The sequence below is a fragment of the Homo sapiens genome, chromosome 1, assembly GCF_000001405.40.
Source record: "Homo sapiens chromosome 1, GRCh38.p14 Primary Assembly".
Classification (NCBI taxonomy): domain Eukaryota; kingdom Metazoa; phylum Chordata; class Mammalia; order Primates; family Hominidae; genus Homo; species Homo sapiens.
The window spans coordinates 221,966,217-221,986,371 of NC_000001.11; the positions used below are offsets into that span (position 1 = coordinate 221,966,217).

Genomic DNA, 20,155 nt, shown 5'->3' on the forward strand with positions numbered 1-20,155 from the left:
TCCTATAAAACGGCCCCACCCCTATCTCCCTTCATTGACTCTCTTTTCGGACTCAGCCCACCTGCACCCAGGTGAAATAAACAGCCATGTTGCTCACACAAAGCCTGTTTGGTGGTCTCTTCACACAGATGTGCATGAAATTTGGTGTGGTGACTCGGATCGGGGGACCTGCCTCAGGAAATCAATCCCCTGTCCTCCTGCTCTTTGCTCCGTGAGAAAGATCCACCTACGACCTCAGGTCCTCAGACCGACTAGCCCAAGAAACATCTCACCAATTTCAAATCTGGTAAGCGGCCTCTTTTTACTCTCTTCTCCAACTTCCCTCACTATCCCTCAACCTCTTTCTCCTTTCAATCTTGGTGCCACACTTCAATCTCTCCCTTCTGTTAATTTCAATTCCTTTCATTTTCTGGTAGAGACAAAGGAGACACGTTTTATCCGTGGACCCAAAACTCCGGAGCCGGTCACGGACTGGGAAGGCAGCCTTCCCTTAGTGTTTAATCATTGCAGGGACACCTCTCTGATTGTTCACCAACGTTTCAAAGGTGTCAGACCATGCAGGGACGCCTGCCTTAGTCCTTCACCCTTAGCGGCAAGTCCCGCTTTTCTGGGGGAAGGGCAAGTACCCCAACCCCTTCTCTCCATGTCTCTACCCCTTCTCTGATTTTCTGGGGCAGGGGCAAGAACCCCTCAACCCCTTCTCCTTCACCCTTAGCAGCAAGTCCCGCTTTTCTGGGGGAGGGGCAAGTACCCGTCAACCCCTTCTCCTTCACCCTTAGCGGTAAGTCCCACTTTTCTAAGGGGCAAGAACGCCCAATCCCTTCTTTCCACACGCCGACCTCTTATCTCTGTGCCCCAATCCCTTATTTCTGCACCCTGACCTCTTATCTCTGTGTCCCAATCCCTTATTTCCGTGCCCCAACCCTTTCTCTGCTTTTCTGGAGAGCAAGAACCCCCCACCCCTTCTCTGTGTCTCTACTCTTTTCTCTGGGCTTGCCTCCTTCACTATGGGCAACCTTCCACCTTCCATTCCTCCTTCTTCTCCCTTAGCCTGTATTCTTAAGAACTTAAAACCTCTTCAACTCTCACCTGACCTAAAATCTAAGCATCTTATTTTCTTCCGCAATGCCACTTGACCCCAGTACAAACTTGACAGTAGTTACAAATAGCCAGAAAATGGCGCTTTCAATTTTTCCATCCTACAAGGTCTAAATAATTCTTGTCGTAAAATGGGCAAATGGTCTGAGGTGCCTTATGTCCAGGCATTCTTTAACACATCAGTCCCTTCCTAGTCTCTGTGCCCAGTGCAACTCGTCCCAAATCTTCCTTCTTTCCCTCCCGCCTGTCCCCTCAGTGCCAACCCCAAGCGTCGCTGAGTCTTTCTAATCTTCCTTTTCTACAGACCCATCTGACCTCTCCCCTCCTCGCCAGGCCGAACTAGGTCCTAATTCTTCCTCAGCCTCCGCTCTTCCACCCTATAATCTTTTTATCACCTCCCCTCCTCACACCTGCTCCGGCTTACAGTTTCATTCAGTGACTACCCCTCCCCCACCTGCCTAGCAATTTACTCTTAAAAAGGTGGCTGGAGCCAAAGGCATAGTCAAGGTTAATGCACCTTTTTCTTTATCCCAAATCAGAAGCATTTAGGCTCTTTTTCATCAAATATAAAAACCGAGCCCAGTTCATGGCTCATTCGGCAGCAACCCTGAGATGCTTTACAGCCCTAGACCCTAAAAGGTCAAAAGGCCGTCTTATTCTCAATATACATTTTATTACCCAATCTGCTCCTGACATTAAATAAAACTCCAAAAATTGGAATCTGGCCCTCAAACCCCACAACAGGACTTAATTAACCTCACTTTCAAGGTGTACAATAACAGAAAAAAGTTGCAATTCCTTGCCTCCACTGTGAGACAAACCCCAGCCACATCTCCAGCACACAAGAACTTCCAAACACCTAAACCGCAGTGGCCAGGGGTTCCTCCAAAACCTCCTCCCCCAGGAGTTTGCTACAAGTGCCAGAAATCTGACCACCAGGCCAAGGAATGCCTGGAGCCCAGGATTCTTCCTAAGCCGTGTCCCATCTGTGCGGGACCCCACTGAAAATCGGACTGTTCATCTCACCTGGCAGCCACTCCCAGAGCCCGTGGAACTCTGGCCCAAGGCTCTCTGACTGACTCCTTCTTGGCTTAGCGGCTGAAGACTGACACTGCCCGATCGCCTCAGAAACCCCGTAGACCATCACGGACGCCGAGCTTTAGTTAACTCTCACAGTGGAGGGTAAGTCCGTCCCCTTCTTAATCAATACGGAGGCTACCCACTCCACATCACCTTCTTTTCAAGGGCCTGTTTCCCTTGCTTCCATAACTGTTGTGGGTATTGACAGCCAGGCTTCTAAACCTCTTAAAACTCCCCAACTCTGGTGCCAACTTAGACAATACTCTTTTAAGCACTCCTTTTTAGTTATCCCCACCTGCCCAGTTCCCTTATTAGGCTGAGACACTTTAAATTATCTGCTTCCCTGACTATTCCTGGACTACAGCTACATCTCATTGCCACCCTTCTTCCCAATCCAAATCCTCCTTTGCGTCCTCCTCTTGTATTCCCCCACCTTAACCCACAAGTATAAGATACCTCTACTCCCTCCTTGGTGACCGATCATGCACCCCTTACCATCTCATTAAAACCTAATCATTCTTACCCCCTCAATGTCAAGATCCCATCCCGCAGCACGCTTTAAAAGGATTAAAGCCTGTTATCACTCGCCTGCTATAGCATGACCTTTTAAAGCCTATAAACTCTCCTTACCATTCCCCCATTTTACCTGTCCTAAAACCAGATAAACCTTACAAGTTAGTTCAGGATCTGCACCTTATCAACCAAATTGTTTTGCCTATCCACCCCGTGGTGCCAAACCCATACACTCTCCTATCCTCAATACCTCCCTCTACTACCCATTATTCTGTTCTGGATCTCAAACATGCTTACTTTACTATTCCTTTGCACCCTTCATCCCAGCCTCTCTTTGCTTTCACTTAGACTGACCCTGACACCCATTAGGCTCAGCAATTACCTGGGCTGTACTGCCGCAAGGCTTCACAGACAGACCCCATTTCAGTCAAGCCCAAATTTCATCCTCATCTGTTACCTATCTCGGCATAATTCTCGTAAAAACACACTTGCTCTCCCTGCTGATCTTGTCCGATTAATCTCCCAAACCTCAATCCCTTACAAAACAACAACTCCTTTCCTTCCTAGGCATGGTTAGTGCGGTCAGAATTCTTACACAAGAGCCAGGACCACACCCTGTAGCCTTTCTGTCCAAACAACTTGACCTTACTGTTTTAGCCTAGCCCTCATGTCTGTGTGCAGCAGCTGCCACTGCTTTCATAATTTTAGAGGCCCTCAAAATCACAGACTATGCTCAACTCACTCTCTACAGTTCTCATAACTTCCAAAATCTATTTTCTTCCTCATACCTGACTCATATACTTTCTGCTCCCTGGCTCCTTCAGCTGTACTCACATTTTGTTAAGTCCCACAATTACCATTGTTCCTGGCCCAGACTTCAATCCGGCCTCCCACATTATTCTAGATACCACACCTGACCCCCATGACTGTATCTCTCTGATCCACCTGATGTTCATCCCATTTCCCCACATTTCCTTCTTCCCTGTTTCTCACCCTGATCACGCTTGATTTATTGATGGCGGTTCCACCAGGCCTAATCGCCACACACCAGCAAAGGCAGGCTATGCTATAGTAGAAGCCACTAGCCCGCCTCTTAGAACCTTTCATTTCCTTTCCATTGTAGAAATCTATCCTCAAGGAAATAACTTCTCAGTGTTCCATCTGCTATTCTACTACTCCTCAATGATTATTCAGGCCCACTACCTTCTCTACACATCAATCTGGAGGATTTGCCCCCACCCAGGACTGGCAAATTAGCTTTACTCAACATGCCCCGAGTCACAAAAACTAAAATACCTCTTATTCTAAGTAGACACTTTCACTAGTTAGGTAGAGGCCTTTCCTACAGGGTCTGAGAAGGCCACCGCAATCCTTTCTTCCCTTCTGTCAGACATAATTCCTCAGTTTAGCCTTCCCACCTCTACACAGTCTGATAACAGACCAGTCTTTATTAATCAAATCAGCCAAGCATTTTCTCAGGCTCTTAGTATTCAGTGACAGACTAATGGTCTATTAAAAACACACCTCACCAAGCTCAGCCACCAACTTAAAAAGGACTGGACAATACTTTTACCACTTTCCCTTCTCAGAATTCAGCCTGTCCTTGGAATGCTGCAGGCTACAGCCCATTTAAGCTCCTGTATAGATGCTCCTTTTTATTAGGCCCCAGTCTCATTCCAGACACCAGACCAACTTAGACTGTGCCCCCAAATAACTTGTCATCCGTACTATCTTCTATCTAGTCATACTCCTATTCACTGTTCTCAACTACTCATACATGCCCTGCTCTTGTTTACACTGCCGGTTTACACTGTTTCTCCAAGCCATCACAGCTGATATCTCCTCCTGCTATCCCCAAACTGCCACTCTTAACTCTTGAAGTAAATAAATAATCTTTGCTGGCAGGACTATGCTGAACCTCCTTAGGCACTCTCTAATTAGATGTCCTAGGTCCTCCCAATTCTTAGTCTTTTTATACCTGTTTTTCTCCTTCTCTTATTCCATTTAGTTTTTCAATTCATACAAAACCGTATCCAGGCCATCACCCATCACTCTATATGACAAATGTTTCTTCTAACAACCCACAATATCAACCCTTACCACAAGACCTCCCTTCAGCTTAATCTCTCCCACTCTAGGTTCCCACGCTGCCCCTAATCCCGCTTGAAGCAGCCCTGAGAAACATCGCCCATTCTCTCTCCATACCACCCCCAAAAAATTTTCGCCGCCCCAACACTTCAACACTATTTTGTTTTATTTTTCTTATTAATATAAGAAGGCAGGAATGTCAGGCCTCTGAACCCAAGCCAAGCCATCACATCCCCTGTGACTTGCACGTATGCACGTATGCACCTAGATGGCCTGAAGTTACTGAAGAATCACAAAAGAAGTGAAAAGGCCCTGCCCCGCCTTAACTGATGACATTCCACCATTGTGATTTGTTCCTGCCCCACCTTAACTGAGTGATTAACCCTGTGAATTTCCTTCTCCTGGCTCAGAAGCTCCCCCACTGATCAGCTTGTGACCCCCGCCCCTGCCCACCAGAGAACAAACCCCCTTTGACTGTAATTTTCCATTACCTTCCCAAATCCTATAAAACGGCCCCACCCTTATCTCCCTTCGCTGACTCTTTTCGGACTCAGCCCATCTGCACCCAGGTGAAATAAACAGCCATGTTGCTCACACAAAGCCTGTTTGGTGGTCTCTTCACACGGATGCGCAAGAAACTTATAAAGGAGGAAATTTATAAAAAAAAACTTGTAATTTATAAATGAAACTTGTAAATGAGGTCATTTGTAAATGAGAAAAGGCTTATAATGGGAGTATCAGGGCTCTGTGCCTCCATTCAACATCTGAATCTAAAGTAAAATTTATCTTCTTAAGCGAAAAATAAATTAACAACACAAATTAACATGGATGAGGGGGTCAGAAATGTTTATGATCAGGCAAGAAAAGAGCTAAAATGTTCAGGGTGCTATGGAAGAATTAAGTAAATGTTTCTGGAAATCTACGTGGGTAGCTGGAAATCACTGATCTAAACCAGGATGGTGAGAGTAAGGTAAGTGATCTCTAGCCCTTGAGGACTAAACTCTGATTTTTTTTTGTCTTGCCCAAATTCCTATCTAAGGGGTCTGGGGAGTCATGCCCTACAAATCATAAATTCTCATTAGATGAGTTTTATTTAACCCCGTATATAATGATTTACTTTCCAACCTGACTCTGGCATAACATTAGGAGACAAAGATAAAATCAAAATATTTTACCCCAAAACATGTTTCTTTGCCATATTTTGAAATGGCCCTGCAAAACTTTTCTTTGTAGGGGAAAATTTGCATCTGTAAAGAATCTCTATTGACATAGCTACATCTTTTTCTTCCAGACTCTCCCAATCCTAAAGAGATTAACTAAAATCTGAATAGGAAACATTTGTCACCTATTGTCTCTAAGGACAGCCACTATAACACTTCAAAAAGACTTTGGTCTCCACAGTCTTTATCTTAACCAGAACATTCCCTTTCTATCTATCCCAGGTCTTCAGACAAACTCAATCCTCAACCAGAAAATATGTAAATTCACCTATAGCCTGGAGGCCCCCCACCTTTGAGCTCTTCCACCTTGATGGACCAAACCAATGCATTTCTTAAATGTATTTGATTGATGTCTCATGCCTCTCTAAAATGTATACAAACAAGCTGCGCCCAGACTACCTTGGGCACAGGTTCTCAGGACCTCCTGAGGGCTGTGTCTCAGTCCATGGTCATTCATATTTGGCTGAGAATAAACCTCTTCAAATACTTTACAGAGTTCTACTCTTTTCGTCAACACCCTGTAGATCGTCTCCCACCTACAGCTGGCCTCTCCAAGTTTTTGTGGAGGGCCAGGAAGCATTGGTTGGAGAGGAGAGGAGAGCAGAGAGGGGGTGGTTTGTGGCATAGAGCAAAACTGGAGCTCCTCTCTTTGAATGCAAAATACAATGTTGGATCTTTTAGTCCATCTGTGAATCTATATTAAGCAATTGGTGAACGTATTTTAATATATTTGTTATTACAGTAAAGTTTTATACAAGCATATTTCACTGACTTTACATACGAAGTGCTTATATTTTAACACCTCTTGATGATGTCATAATTATAATTGGCAGCATCTTTTCATTTTTACTAGTACCTATTTTCATGCGCGTCTGTGTGAAGAGACCACCAAATAGGCTGTGTGTGAGCAACATGGCTGTTTATTTCACCTGGGTGCAGGCGGGCTGAGTCCGAAAAGAGAGTCAGTGAAGGGAGATAAGGGTGGGGCCGTTTTATAGGATTTGGGTAGGTAAAGGAAAATTATAGTCAAAGGGGGTTTGTTCTCTGGTGGGCAGGAGTGGGGGTCGCAAGGTGCTCAGTGGGGGTGCTTTTTGAGCCAGGATGAGCCAGGAAAAGGACTTTCACAAGGTAATGTCATCAGTTAAGGCAAGGATCGGCCATTTACACGTCTTTTGTGGTGGAATGTCATCAGTTAAGGTAGGGCAGGGCCTATTCACTTCTTTTGTGATTCTTCAGTTACTTCAGGTCATCTGGGCATATACGTGCAAGTCACAGGGGATGTGATGGCTTGGCTTGGGCTCAGAGGCCTGACATTCCTGCCTTCTTATATTAATAAGAAAAATAAAACAAAATAGTGTTGAAGTTTTGGGGCGGTGAAAATTTTTGGGGGGTGGTATGGAGAGAGAATGGGCGATGTTTCTCAGGGCTGCTTCAAGCGGGATTAGGGGCGGCGTGGGAACCTAGAGTGGGAGAGATTAAGCTGAAGGGAGGTCTTGTGGTAAGGGGTGATATTGTGGGGATGTTAGAAGAAACATTTGTCGTATAGAATGATTGGTGATGGCCTGGATACGGTTTTGTATGAATTGAAAAACTAAATGGAATAAGAGAAGGAGAAAAACAGGTATAAAAGGTCTAAGAATTGGGATGACTCAGGATATCTGATTAGAGAGTGCTTAAGGAGATTCGGCAAAGTCCTGCCAGCAAAGATTATTTATTTACTTCAAGAATTAAGAGTGGCAGTTTGGGGATAGCAGGAGGAGATATCAGCTGTGATGGCTTGGAAAAACAGTGTAAACCGGCAGTGTAAACAAGAGCAGGGCATGTATGAGTAGCTGAGAACGGTGAATAGGAGTATGACTAGACAGAAAATAGTAGGGATGACAAGTTTTTTTTTGGTGGGGGGCACAGTCTAAGTTGGTCTGGTGTCTGGAATGAGACTGGGGCCTAATAAAAAGGAGCATCTATACAGGAGCTTAAATGGGCTGTACCCTGTAGCATTCCAAGGACAGGCCTGAATTCTGAGAAGGGAAAGTGGTAAAAGTATTGTCCAGTCCTTTTTAAGTTGGTGGCTGAGCTCAGTGAGGTGTGTTTTTAAAAGACTTTTAGTCCATTCTACTTTTCTTGAAGACAGAGGACCATAAGTGGTATAAAAGTTTCACTGAATACTAAGAGCCTGAAAAACTGCTTGGCTGATTTGACTAATAAAGGCTCATCTGTTATCAGACTGTATTGAGGTGGGAAGGCTAAACTGAGGAATTATGTCTGACAGAAGGGAAGAAATGATTGCGGTGGCCTTCTCAGACCCTGTAGGAAAGGCCCTTACTTATTCAGTGAAAGTGTCTATTTAGACTAAGAGGTATTTTAGTTTCCTGACTCGGGCATGTTGAGTAAAGCTAATTTGCCAGTCCTGGGTGGGGGCAAATCCGCCAGATTGATGTGTAGGGAAGGGAGGGGGCCTGAATAATCCCTGAGGAGTAGTAGAACAGCAGATGGAACACTGAGAAGTTATTTCCTTGAGGATAGATTTCCATGATGGAAAGGAAATGAGAGGTTCTAAGAGGTGGGCTAGTGGCTTGTACTATAGCATAGCCTGCCTTTGCTGGTGTGTGGCGATTAGGCCTGGTTGAACCGCCAGCAATAAATCAAGCGTGATCAGGGTGAGGAACAAGAAAGAAGGAAATTTGGGGAAATGGGGTGAATGTCAGGTGGATCAGAGAGATACAGTCATGGGGGTCAGGTGTAGTATCAGGAATAATGTGGGAGGCTGGATTGAAGTCCGGGCCAGGAACAATGGTAATTGTGGGAGACTCAACAAAGAGTGAGTACAGCTGAAGGAGCTGGGGAGCAGAAAGTATATGCATTAGGTATGAGGAAGAAAATAGATTTTGGAAGTTACGTGAACTGTAGAGAGTGAGTTGAGCATAGTTTGTGATTTTGAGGGCCTCTAAAAGTATTAAAGCGTGGCAGCCGCTGCACGCAGACATGAGGGCTAGGATAAAACAGTAAGGTCAAGTTGTTTGCACAGAAAGGCTACAGGGTGTGGTCCTGGCTCTTGTGTAAGAATTCTGACCGCACTAACTATGCCTAGGAAGGAAAGGAGTTGTTGTTTTGTAAGGGATTGAGGTTTGGGAGATTAATCGGACATGATCAGCAGGGAAAGCATGTATGTTTTTATGAGAATTATGCTGAAATAGGTAACAGACGAGGATGAAATTTGGGCTTGATTGAAGTAATGGGGTCTATCTGTGAAGGTTTGCAGCAGTATGGCCTAGGTAATTTGCTGAGCCTAATGGGTGTCAGGGTCAGTCTAAGTGAAAGCAAAGAGAGGCTGGGACGAGGGGTGCAGGGGAATAGTGAAAAAAGCATCTTTAAGATCAGGCACGGAATAGTGAGTTGTGGAGGAAGGTATTGAGAACAAAAGAGTGTATGGGGTTGGGCACCACAGGGTGGATAGGCAAAACAATTTGGTTGATAAGGTGCAGATCCTGAACTAACTTGTAAGCCTTGTCTGGTTTTAGGACAGGTAAAATGGGGGAATTGTAAGGAGAGTTTATAGGCTTTAAAAGGCCATGCTGTAGCAGGCGAGTGATAACAGGCTTTAATCTTTTTAAAGCGTGCTGCGGGATGGGATATTGGCGTTGAGTGGGGTAAGGGTGATTAGGTTTTAATGAGATGGTAAGGGGTGCATGATCCGTCGCCAAAGAGGGAGTAGAGGTATCTTATACTTGTGGGTTAAGGTGGGGGGATACAAGAGGAGGACAGATGCAAAGAGGATTTGGATTGGGAAGAAGGGCGGCAATGAGATATAGCTGTAGTCCAGGAATAGTCAGGGAAGCAGATAATTTAAAGTGTCTCAGCCTAATAAGGGAACTGGGCAGGTGGGGATAACTAAAAAGGAGTGCTTAAAAGAGTATTGTCTAAGTTGGCACCAGAGTTGGGGAGTTTTAAGAGGTTTAGAAGCCTGGCCGTCAACACCCACAACAGTTATGAAGGCAAAGGAAACAGGCCCTTGAAAAGAAGGTAACGTGGAGTGGGTAGCCTCCGTATTGATTAAGAAGGGGACAGGCTTACCTTCCGCTGTGAGAGTTACGCGAAGCTCGGCGTCCGTGAATGGTCTAGGGGGCTTCCGAGGCGATCGTGCAGTGTCAGTCTTCAGCTGCTAAGCCGAGAAGATCTGGGAAGGAGTCAGTCAGAGAGCCTTGGGCTAGAGTTCCAGGGGCTCTGGGAGTGGCTGCCAGGTGAGTTGAACAGTCCGATTTTCAGTGGGGTCCCGCACAGATGGGACGCGGCTTAGGAGGAATCCCGGGCTGCGGGCATTCCTTGGCCCAGTGGCCAGATTTCCGGCATGTGTAGCAAGCTCCTGTGGGAGGAGGTTCTGGAGGAACGCCTGGCCACTGCGGTTCAGGCGTTTGGAAGTTCTTGTGTGCTGGAGATGTGGCTGGGGTTTGTCTCACAGTGGAGGCAAGGAATTGCAACTTTTTTCAGTTATTGTACACCTTGAAGGTGAGGTTAATTAAGTCCTGTTGTGGGGTTTGAGGGCCAGATTCCAATTTTTGGAGTTTTATTTAATGTCGGGAGCAGATTGGGTAATAAAATGTATTTTGAGAATAAGATGGCCTTTTGACCTTTTAGGGTCTAGGGCTGTAAAGTGTCTCAGGGTTGCTGCCAAACGAGCCATGAACTGGGCTGGGTTTTTATATTTGATGAAAAAGAGCCTAAACGCTTCTGATTTGGGATAAAGAAAAAGGAGCATTAACCTTGACTATGCCTTTGGCTCCAGCCACCTTTTTAAGAGTAAATTGCTGGGCAGGTGGGGGAGGGCTAGTCACGGAACGAAACTGTAAGCCGGACCAGGTGTGAGGAGGGGAGGTGATAAAAAGATTGTAGGGTGGAGGAGCAGAGGCTGAGGAAGAATTGGGACCTAGCTCGGCCTGGCGAGGAGCAGCCTGGGGAGGAAGGGAGAGGTCAGATGGGTCTGTAGAAAAGGAAGATTAGAAAGACTCAGCGATGCTTGGGGTTGGTACTGAGGGGACAGGCGGGAGGGAAAGAAGGAAGATTTGGGATGAGTTGCACTGGGCACAGAGGCTAGGAAGGGACTGATGTGTAAAAGAATGCCTGGACGTCAGGCACCTCAGACCGTTTGCCTATTTTACAAGAATTATTTAGATTTTGCAGGATTGAAAAATTCAAAGTGCCATTTTCTGGCTATTTGGAACTACTGTCGAGTTTGTATTGGGGTCAAGCGGTATTGCAGAAGAAAATAAGGCATTTAGGTTTTAGGTCAGGTGTGAGTTGAAGAGGTTTTAAGTTTTTGAGAACACAGGCCAAGGGAGTAGGAGGAGGAATGGAGGGTGGAAGGTTCCCATAGTGAAGGAAGCAAGCCTAGAGAAAAGAGAGAGTAGAGAAATGGAGGGAAGGGTTTGGGGGTTCTTACCTTCCAGAAAAGTGGGAAAAGGGGTTGGGGTGCAGAGATAAGAGGTCAGGGTGTGGAAATAAGGGATTGGGGTACAAAGATATAAGAGGTTGGGGCACGGAAATAAGGGATTGGGGTGCAGAGATAGGTTGGGGCACAGGAATAAGGGATTGGGGCACAGAGATAAGAGGTTGGGGCATGGAAATAAGGGATTGGTGGTTCTTGCCCCATAGAAAAGCAGGACTTGCCGCTAAGGGTGAAGGAGAAGGGGTTGAGGGGTACTTGCCCCCCTCCTAGAAAAGTGGGACTTGCCAGTAAGGGTGAAGGAGAATGGGTTGAGGGTACTTGCCCCTCTCCCAGAAAAGCAGAGAAGGGGTAGAGACATGGAGAGAAGGGGCTGGGGTACTTGCCCCTTCCCCAGAAAAGCGGGACTTGCCGCTAAGGGTGAAGGACCAAGGCAGGCGTCCCTGCGTGGTCTGACACCCTTGAAACATGGGTGTATAATCAGAGAGGTGTCCCTGCAATGATTAAACACCAAGGGAAGGCTGCCTTCCCAGTCCGTGACCCGCGCCAGAGTTTTGGGTCCACGGATAAAACGTGTCTCCTTTGTCTCTCCCAGAAAATGAAAGGAATTGAAATTAAGAGAAGGGAGAGATTGAAGAGTGGAAAGGATAAAGTGGTTGAGGGACAGTGAGAGAGGTTGGAGAAGAGAGTAAGAAGAGGCTGCTTACCTGATTTAAAATTGGTGAGATGTTCCTTGGGCTAGTCGGTCTGAGGACCTGAGGGTCATAGGTGGATCTTTCTCACGGAGCAAAGAACAGGAGTACAGGGGATTGATCTCCCAAGGGAGGTCCCCCAATCCGAGTCACGGCACCAAATTTCATGTGCATCTGTGTGAAGAGACCACCAAACAGGCTTTGTGTGAGCAACATGGCTGTTTATTTCACCTGGGTGCAGGCGGGCTGAGTCCGAAAAGAGAGTCAGTGAAGCGAGATAAGGGTGGGGCCGTTTTATAGGATTTGGGTAGGTAAAGGAAAATTATAGTTAAAGGGGGTTTGTTCTCTGGTGGGCAGGAGTGGGGGTCGCAAGGTGCTCAGTGGGGGTGCTTTTTGAGCCAGGATGAGCTAGGAAAAGGACTTCAAGGTAATGTCATCACTTAAGGCAAGGACCGACCATTTACACTTCTTTTGTGGTGGAATGTCATCAGTTAAGGTGGGGGCAGGGCGTATTCACTTCTTTTGTGATTCTTCAGTTACTTCAGGCCATCTGGGCGTATACATGCAAGTCACAGGGGATGCGATGGCTTGGCTTGGGCTCAGAGGCCTGACACCTATGATGATGATGGCATCTTATTCAATATCTACTATATAACAATTGAAATCTCTAAATGAAAGCCAAGGGTTTGGAAGAATTGATGTCCTTTATTACTAAAGAGTAATAGACATGGAGACATCTGATACATCATGGCGTGTGTGTGTGTGTGTGTGTGTATGTGTGGTTGGGAGTGTGGGTGGTTAAGTATATGCGCATACGCTTATTGGGTAATGGAAGGGGCAGGTCATGGGAAAGGGAGATGCAGAATCCAACTTGGGTAAATTTGTTTTTTTCTAAGGTAGTCCAGCAGATAATTCAGTGAGAACATATTCTGAGTGACACCTACAGTGAGTATTTCCAGTGGGATCAAACAATCAAATAAAGAATTAAATAGAAAGCAGCACAGAGTGATTTTTTAAAACATGCCTTCAAAACAGTCAACAACATAGTAAAGAAGAATTAAAGCAAATGAGGCTCATCTAGCTTGCTTTTCTCAACAAAATTGGAGTAATTAAGTACAAAGGTAGTATGATAAGAAATTACATGAAAATAGGCAGATACAGACCAAAATTGCTTCCCCAGAATTCTTTCTCAGACTCCTACTACCTTGCACTTTTCTGCTCCCCAGCCTCTCTCTCTCCCTAACCTAACTTTTCTGCTAAATATTTTCTGACTTTTGTCTCCCTCCTGTGCCTATACATTTTTGTAGCTTTTCTGAGCTCAGGCTTCAGCTCTTTTTTTCCTTCAGTAGAGACCACATGGTACCCTGAGACACCATATCCTATGGAGCCCAAACTTGGTGTTATCATTGGCCAGCTGTGGGTTCTAGTCAAGTTATTTAGTCTCTCTGAGTGTCACCTGTCCCATCTTTTAAAATGAGTAAAATAATACCTACCTTAAAAGGTTTTAATGAAGTTTAGAGATATTCCTTCTAAAATTCCTGCCACCAGGTGGCTGCTTCATAAAATAGAGCCCTAGGTATCAATAAGCCTTCAATCCCTTCATCTAAAACCCTTTGCTAACCTTAAGTATAATTTTTCCTTCCTTTCACAACACTACAGTATTGTATTTTTACTTTTTTAACTGTGATAAACTACACATAACATAAAATTTACCATCTTAACCTTTTTTTTTTTTTTTTTTTTTGAGACGGAGTCTCACTCTGTCACCAGGCTGTAGTGCAGTGGTGTGATCTCAGCTCACTGCAACATCTGCCTCCTAGGTTCAAGTGATTCTCCTGCCTCAGTCTCCCGAGTAGCTGGGACTATAGGCACGTGCCACCATGCCCAGCTAATTTTTGTATTTTTTAGTAGAGATGGGGTTTCACCATGTTGGCCAGGATGGTCTCGATCTCTTGACCTCGCAATCCTCCTGCCTTGGCCTCCCAAAGTGCTGGGATTACAGGCATGAGTCACCATGCCTGGCCCATCTTAACCATTTTTAAGTGTACAGTTCAGTAGTGTTAAGTATATTTACATTGGTGAGAAACAAAGCTCCAGAACTTTTTCATGTTGCAAATCTGAAACTCCATACTAAGAAAATAACAATTTCCTATTCTCCCCCCCCAACTCCAAGCCTTTGGCAACCACCATTCTCCTTTCTGTTTCTACGAATTTGACTACTCTAGGTACCTCATGTAAGCCAGTTTACATAACTTTTGTCTTTTTGTAACTGACATATTTCACTAAGCATAATGTCCTTAAGGTTGATCCTTGTTGTAGCATGTGTCAGAATTTCCTTCCTTTTTAAGGCTGAATAATATTCTATCTGTATGTATAGACCACATTTTGTTTGTTCATTCATCTTCATTGGATATTTGGGTTGCTTCCATCTTTTGACTGTTGCAAATAATGCTGTTATGAACACAGGTGTACAAACCTTTTGAGAGCCAGGTGCAGTGGCTCACACCTGCAATCCTAGCAATTTGGGAGGCAGAAGGATTCCTTGAGCACAGGAGTTTGAGACCAGCCTAGGCAACAAAGTGAGACCCTATCTCTACAAATAATAATAATAATAATAATAAATAGCTTGGCATGTTGGCATATCGCAATTACTAGGAAGGCTGAGGTGGGAGGATAGTTTGACCGGAAGAGGTCACACCACTACACTCCAGCCTGGGTGACACAATGAGACCCTAACTGAAAAACTAAAAATAAAACTAATCTCTTTGAGACCCTACTTTCAATTATTTTGGGTATATACCCAGAAGTGGAATTGCTGAATTATATGGTAATTCAACATTTAATGTTTTGGGGAATGGTCATACTCTTTCCTGTAGAAGCTGTGCCATTTTGCATTTCCACCAACAGTGCGCAAGGGTTCCTATTTTCTACATCCCTGCTGGCACTTGTTTTCTTTTTCTTTCTTTCTTTCTTTTTTTTTTTTTTTTAATAGTAGCAATCCTAATGAGTATGAAGCAGTCTCACTGTGGTTTTGATTTGCATTTCCCTAATGCTTTGTGATGTTGAGCATCTTTTTATGCGGTTGTTAAACATTACTATATTTTTATAGTTTTATATTTAGTTTTAACACCATCGCTTCAAATAAAAAGTATTTTTGAATGCATTCACTTTAATTCCTCAAATTTCCTCTCCCAAATTACTTATTTTTAGTTCATTTCTTGCTTACTCAGACTAGAAACTTGACCATCATTTTCATCATCTATTATACTGAATGACTCTTCAAGTCCTCACATTTCTGTTTTTGTGATGATTCTTACACACATTTTCCCCCACTTGGGCTGTCACCTACCTCATCCAGAAGCTATTCCCTCACACTTAGACACTGCAATGGCTTCCTATGCACCATGACTTATTTTTTTGCACCAACTCCTATTCATCTTGAACACTGCTGCCAAATTAATCTGTCTTTAATATACCACATTTATTCTGAAATTAGTGTAATGAAGAAATTGTGATAACTATTGCATACTCCAGAGGTTCTTAGATTTGTCTCCCGTGGAATGTTTGTCTTCCCCGGAGCAGAAGTATTCTGTTGATAAAATAAAGTAATGGTAGCCTTTTTCTAAATCATAGAAAAATTAAATTGACGGCTAATTTCTTTTCAATTTTAGGCTTTTCTCCTACTTTTATTTATTTAGCCTTCTACACTTGCCATTGTTTGATTGGTGGCAGCTCCTGGCAGATAACATTATAAGAATATATATATATATATATATATATATATATATATTTGAAATTAATTGAAAAGCTCGGAAGTCATTAATCATATCTAGTTGGGCAGCTTGGGATTTTTGCCACTGTCATCATAGCTATTTATTTTGTTAATAAAAATATGTGTATAGTTTCCTACTAGATAAATATATGAATACTATAGTCATATTTTCAGCTGAGAAAATTTTTACACTTCATAAGGAACTAAAAGTACCCACATTAGTAATCCTTAATACTAACATGACTCTCAGGTTCTCTGTAATCTGACAAATTTGAAAACCAGTGATCTAATAATTGATTCTGGACTCCTCAACTTCTAAAGGCAGTCTCCCTAAAGGGATATCCTAAAGATGTTTATGATTTTCACATTTTGAGAGGGTGAGGAAAGGGGGGAAGCAGGTATTGCCAATGTTGGGAGATGATTTTCCACAGAATTTTCTTATAAGAATCTGCCCTTGGAAAATAAAAGGAAGTCACAGGCATTATGTTCAGGGTTAGATATTGAATATAATTTTACAAACAATGTATGACCAATTAGAGAAGGGTCTGTTATGGCCTGTAAGATCCTAGGAGACATCTGTTTCAATTTGTGTGTATCTCACATAAGATAAAGCAAATGTGACAATGTTATTACCTTCCATCCTCTATCCATCTGCTGATACTAGGGAATGAGCCAACTGATGACCCCACCGTCCTGATGTCATAGCATAGGACAATGTGGGTCAGTCTTGAGCCAGCTTTGCATGCATGCGTGGAAAAAGGTGACCCCAGTTACTGGCTTGGATGGCTTTACAGTTATATTTTTCTCATACAATAAGCAAAAATTTTACAAATTTTGTTTGAAGACCACAACCAATATTCTTGAACTCTCTCCCTGAATAAAGACCTTTGCAAGAGGGTCCGAGACATTTGCATCATCATTCAGTGAGACCTGTAAACACAGCATCTGCCTTTGACCACATCCATCTGGAAGAACCTGAGAGATAATCCATTTTATGAAATTTTCCCTACCCTGAAATGGGAGAATGGTAGGTAAAGTAGTGGCAATCCCTTCTTCCTTTTCCTTCCGTGTGTGTGTGTGTGTGTGTGTGTGTGTGTGTGTGTGTGTGTGATGTAAAGAATGCACACTTCAGGTAAAATATGTGAGCAGCTAGGGAAGGTTTGGATTATTCAGCTCATAAAACATTCCACATCATCCTCCAAGGTGTACACTTCCTCCATATCTAAACTTTCACTATCCCCAACATTCACTCCAGCTAAGCCAGTCTCCTCCTTGTCCCTGGAACACATGACAACTCTCTACCACACCACCTCCATGCCTTTGCTCATGCTGTGTCTACACCAGGGATCATATCCCAGCCCTCCCTCCCCTCTGCCTCTCCAAATCCCATATATCCTTCCTCCAGGAAAACTTCTTGTATTATTCCAGTCCTCATATATCTCACTATTTCGAAAAAGTCCCTCTGTGTTCAGAGCTACTCCTTTATTGTGCCAACACAGCATCATTCCATATTAACTGATTCATTCATTAACCAATATTTAGTGGTTGCCAGCCATTTCCAAATAATTCTGCTAAATTCTCAGTTTTTACTGTGCTCAAGCAGATAAGTACACAAATAAGTATGACATAGACTAGAAAGTGAACATACATGAAAAAGGTGTGGCCATTCAGAAAAGAAGGCAATGAACTCTAACTGGAAGGATCAGGAAACACTTTGTGGAGGTGACTTTTGTGGTGGGAATTAAAGGATAGGAATGTTTGGAGGTAAAGAGTAGGGAATTCCAAACTCAGGAAACTGTCTGCAGGATGCATCTTGCTGGCAATACTTTGCTACAAAGCTGCCTGAAGAGGTGTCAAGGAAAGCTTCTGGCTGCTAGGTGCTGCTGGCTGCCATTTGCAGTGAAATCTGTATACTAGAAAAGCTACCTGTATTGTAGGAACCAAGTTCTGGAGAAGCTCCTGGGCTGCTAGAACTGGGTGCTGGAGAAACCAGGTATGCTGAAGGAGGTTGATGAAACAAACACACTGTAATCAGAAAGAGAATCCCCTTCCTCCTGCAGTATTCCACCAATAACTTCTACTGACAAAGCTTAACATTATGTCAGCTGACTTAGAAGAAATATTTGCAGGGTCCAGCTGCATTATCCACAGAATAGTGAATGAAGGATGGAGTTGGAGCTGAAAGAAAATAAGCTGACAACTGGCACAGTAAAGTATTTGGCTCCACAGTCTCTACGTATACCCTTCTATACATATTTACACTTCTGTGCAACAATGAAACAACTCTATATTTCACCTAAAAAGATACAGCTGTCTTAAAATGTAAAGAAGTCCTCAGCTTTGCTTTACAGTGAGGAGATGCACAGTCTCAGTTGTCATTATTTTCATCATTGGCTATATATTAAATATTTCTAAAATCCTGTCACAGTCTCTGTTACCTAAAAATAAATTTATAAAATTAACCCACAAGAACTTATATGTAAAATAAAAATAAGAAGAAGAAAATGTTAGCTTATATGAGGGGTCTTCAAAAAGTTCACGGAAAATGTGTATTTTTTATATATATAAAAATAGATGTGTGGATTTCAAACATTTTCGGCACAAAAGTAAACTCGTGCTAACTTGTTATAACATGCCTGAACAGAATCTAATTTGAAGCACTGAGAAGGATAAGGCATCCATTTGAAAAGGACTCCTATATTGCAACATGAATTCTGCTAAAATTGAAGCAAGAACAAACATCAAATTTATGATGAAGTTTGGGTAGAAGAACGATGAAATTAGTGACGCTTTATAAAAAGTTTATTGGGACAATACCCCAAATGAATCAGCAGTTTAAAAATGGATAACTTATTTTAAGAAGAAACAAGATGATGTTGAAGATGAAGCCTGCAACGGCAGACCATCTACATCAATTTGGAAGGAAAAAATTAATCTTGTTCATGCCCTAACGGAGGAAGACTGACAATTAACAGCACTGACAATAGCCAACAATGTAGACAGCTGGTTCACCTTACACAATTCTGAGTGAAAAATTAAAATTGAGCAAACTTTCCACTCAATGAGTACCAAAACTGTTGTACCCAGGTTAGCTGCAAATAACAGCAGAACTTTCAATTGAAATTTTAAACAAGTGGGATCAAGATCCTGTAGCATTTCCTTGAAGAACTGTAACAGGAGATGAAACATGACTTTACAATATGATCCCAAAGACATAATCAAAGCATAATCAAAGCAATGACTGCCAAGAGGTGGAAATGGTCAAGTCACAGCAAAAGCAGATGAGCAATGAGCAAAGGTCATGGCAAAGTTTTTTGGTGATGTTCAAGGTGTTTTACTCGTTGACTTTCTGGAGGGCCAAAAAACAATAACATCTACTAATTATGAGAGTATTTTGAGAAAGTCCGTCAAAGCTTTAGCAGAAAAACACCCAGGAAAGTTTCACCAGAGAGTCCTTCTTCACCATGACAATGTTCCTACTCATTTTTCTCATCAAACAAGGGCAATTCTGTGAGATTTTCCATGAGAAATCATTAGGCATCCACCTTACAGTCCTGGTTTGGTTCCTTCTAACTTCTTTTTGTTTCCTAATCTTAAGAAACTTTTTACCTTAAGTTAAAGTATATAGCTATTTAAGATTTCCTAATCTTAAAAAAATTTTTCTTCAGTTGATAATATGAAAAAGATTGCACTGACATAGTTAAATTCCCAAGACCCTCAGTTCTTTATGAATGAACCAAATGGCTGATGTCATTGTTTATAAAAGTGACTTGAACTTAACGGAACTCATATTGAAAAATAAAGTTTATATTTTATGTTTTTACTTGTTAATTTTATTTTTCCACAAATTTGGAAGTCCCTTGTACATACAATAAGATAAATATGCAAAGTGACCACGGTCTTCATTTCTATAATTGGTTAAGATGCTATTCATAATTGACATCTATGGTTAAAATGCTATTCACAATTGATATCTATGATTTTATTTTTCCATAATCCATTTTATATTTTCATCTTTCTCAGTCAGAACTTCAGCTGTTTGGGGTTCTTTACCTGGTAGAGTGATCCAAACCTTCATTCTTTAAGGGCTCACTTGTTGTTCTGCTTTTTCTGCCTTTTTGTTGTTGTTTTTTTTTTTTTTTTTTTGCTATAGCTTTTCATTAACCTTTACTACTGTGCATAATGGTATTAAAAGGTACCCAGGAGAATTCTCCTTGCCTCTGCTGTGAGCAGTGGCCTGTTTCCCTTGGTAAAT

The 20,155-nt window shown here is 42.9% G+C and overlaps 2 long non-coding RNA genes across 2 annotated transcripts in view, besides 11 other annotated features; one reads left to right on the plus strand and one right to left on the minus strand.

Moving 5' to 3' along the window:
- The window catches only part of LINC02257 (long intergenic non-protein coding RNA 2257), a 64,876-nt gene extending 52,572 nt beyond the window's left edge, over positions 1–12,304 (minus strand). The window contains exon 1 of the long non-coding RNA NR_149057.1: positions 12,144–12,304. This is a non-coding gene — a long non-coding RNA (long intergenic non-protein coding RNA 2257). The remainder of the gene's footprint in view (positions 1–12,143) is intronic.
- LINC02474 (long intergenic non-protein coding RNA 2474) lies at positions 194–18,748 on the plus strand. The gene is made up of 3 exons (NR_149071.1): positions 194–286; positions 16,784–16,927; positions 18,545–18,748. It is a non-coding gene; the product is annotated as a long intergenic non-protein coding RNA 2474 (long non-coding RNA).
- Positions 4,783–5,395: an enhancer, noted in NCBI's record as "OCT4-NANOG-H3K27ac hESC enhancer chr1:222144341-222144953 (GRCh37/hg19 assembly coordinates)". NCBI's record gives its function as "activates a minimal SCP1, AML or CMV promoter by ChIP-STARR-seq in naive and primed H9 embryonic stem cells {active_cell/tissue: H9 hESC(naive and primed)}" and the evidence as "EXISTENCE:reporter gene assay evidence [ECO:0000049][PMID:30033119]".
- Positions 5,396–6,007: an enhancer, noted in NCBI's record as "NANOG-H3K27ac hESC enhancer chr1:222144954-222145565 (GRCh37/hg19 assembly coordinates)". NCBI's record gives its function as "activates a minimal SCP1, AML or CMV promoter by ChIP-STARR-seq in primed H9 embryonic stem cells {active_cell/tissue: H9 hESC(primed)}" and the evidence as "EXISTENCE:reporter gene assay evidence [ECO:0000049][PMID:30033119]".
- Positions 6,008–6,620: an enhancer, noted in NCBI's record as "NANOG-H3K27ac hESC enhancer chr1:222145566-222146178 (GRCh37/hg19 assembly coordinates)". NCBI's record gives its function as "activates a minimal SCP1, AML or CMV promoter by ChIP-STARR-seq in naive and primed H9 embryonic stem cells {active_cell/tissue: H9 hESC(naive and primed)}" and the evidence as "EXISTENCE:reporter gene assay evidence [ECO:0000049][PMID:30033119]".
- Positions 6,621–7,232: an enhancer, noted in NCBI's record as "OCT4-NANOG-H3K27ac hESC enhancer chr1:222146179-222146790 (GRCh37/hg19 assembly coordinates)". NCBI's record gives its function as "activates a minimal SCP1, AML or CMV promoter by ChIP-STARR-seq in naive H9 embryonic stem cells {active_cell/tissue: H9 hESC(naive)}" and the evidence as "EXISTENCE:reporter gene assay evidence [ECO:0000049][PMID:30033119]".
- Positions 6,862–7,312: a mobile genetic element, noted in NCBI's record as "direction; reverse". NCBI's record gives its function as "suggested as a possible recombination region in PMID:20951845".
- Positions 6,862–12,290: a biological region, named in NCBI's record as "1q41 HERV-mediated proximal recombination region". NCBI's record gives its function as "recombination_partner: LOC107325942".
- Positions 7,233–7,845: an enhancer, noted in NCBI's record as "OCT4-NANOG-H3K27ac hESC enhancer chr1:222146791-222147403 (GRCh37/hg19 assembly coordinates)". NCBI's record gives its function as "activates a minimal SCP1, AML or CMV promoter by ChIP-STARR-seq in naive H9 embryonic stem cells {active_cell/tissue: H9 hESC(naive)}" and the evidence as "EXISTENCE:reporter gene assay evidence [ECO:0000049][PMID:30033119]".
- Positions 9,216–12,290: a mobile genetic element, noted in NCBI's record as "direction; reverse".
- Positions 10,848–11,007: a non allelic homologous recombination region, noted in NCBI's record as "sub-region 1, recombines with sub-region 1' within the 1q41-q42 HERV-mediated distal recombination region". NCBI's record gives the evidence for it as "EXISTENCE:nucleotide sequencing assay evidence [ECO:0000219][PMID:25246103]".
- Positions 11,010–11,062: a non allelic homologous recombination region, noted in NCBI's record as "sub-region 2, recombines with sub-region 2' within the 1q41-q42 HERV-mediated distal recombination region". NCBI's record gives the evidence for it as "EXISTENCE:nucleotide sequencing assay evidence [ECO:0000219][PMID:25246103]".
- Positions 12,319–13,061: an enhancer, noted in NCBI's record as "OCT4-NANOG-H3K27ac hESC enhancer chr1:222151877-222152619 (GRCh37/hg19 assembly coordinates)". NCBI's record gives its function as "activates a minimal SCP1, AML or CMV promoter by ChIP-STARR-seq in naive and primed H9 embryonic stem cells {active_cell/tissue: H9 hESC(naive and primed)}" and the evidence as "EXISTENCE:reporter gene assay evidence [ECO:0000049][PMID:30033119]".
- Positions 18,749–20,155: the final 1,407 nt, after the last annotated feature.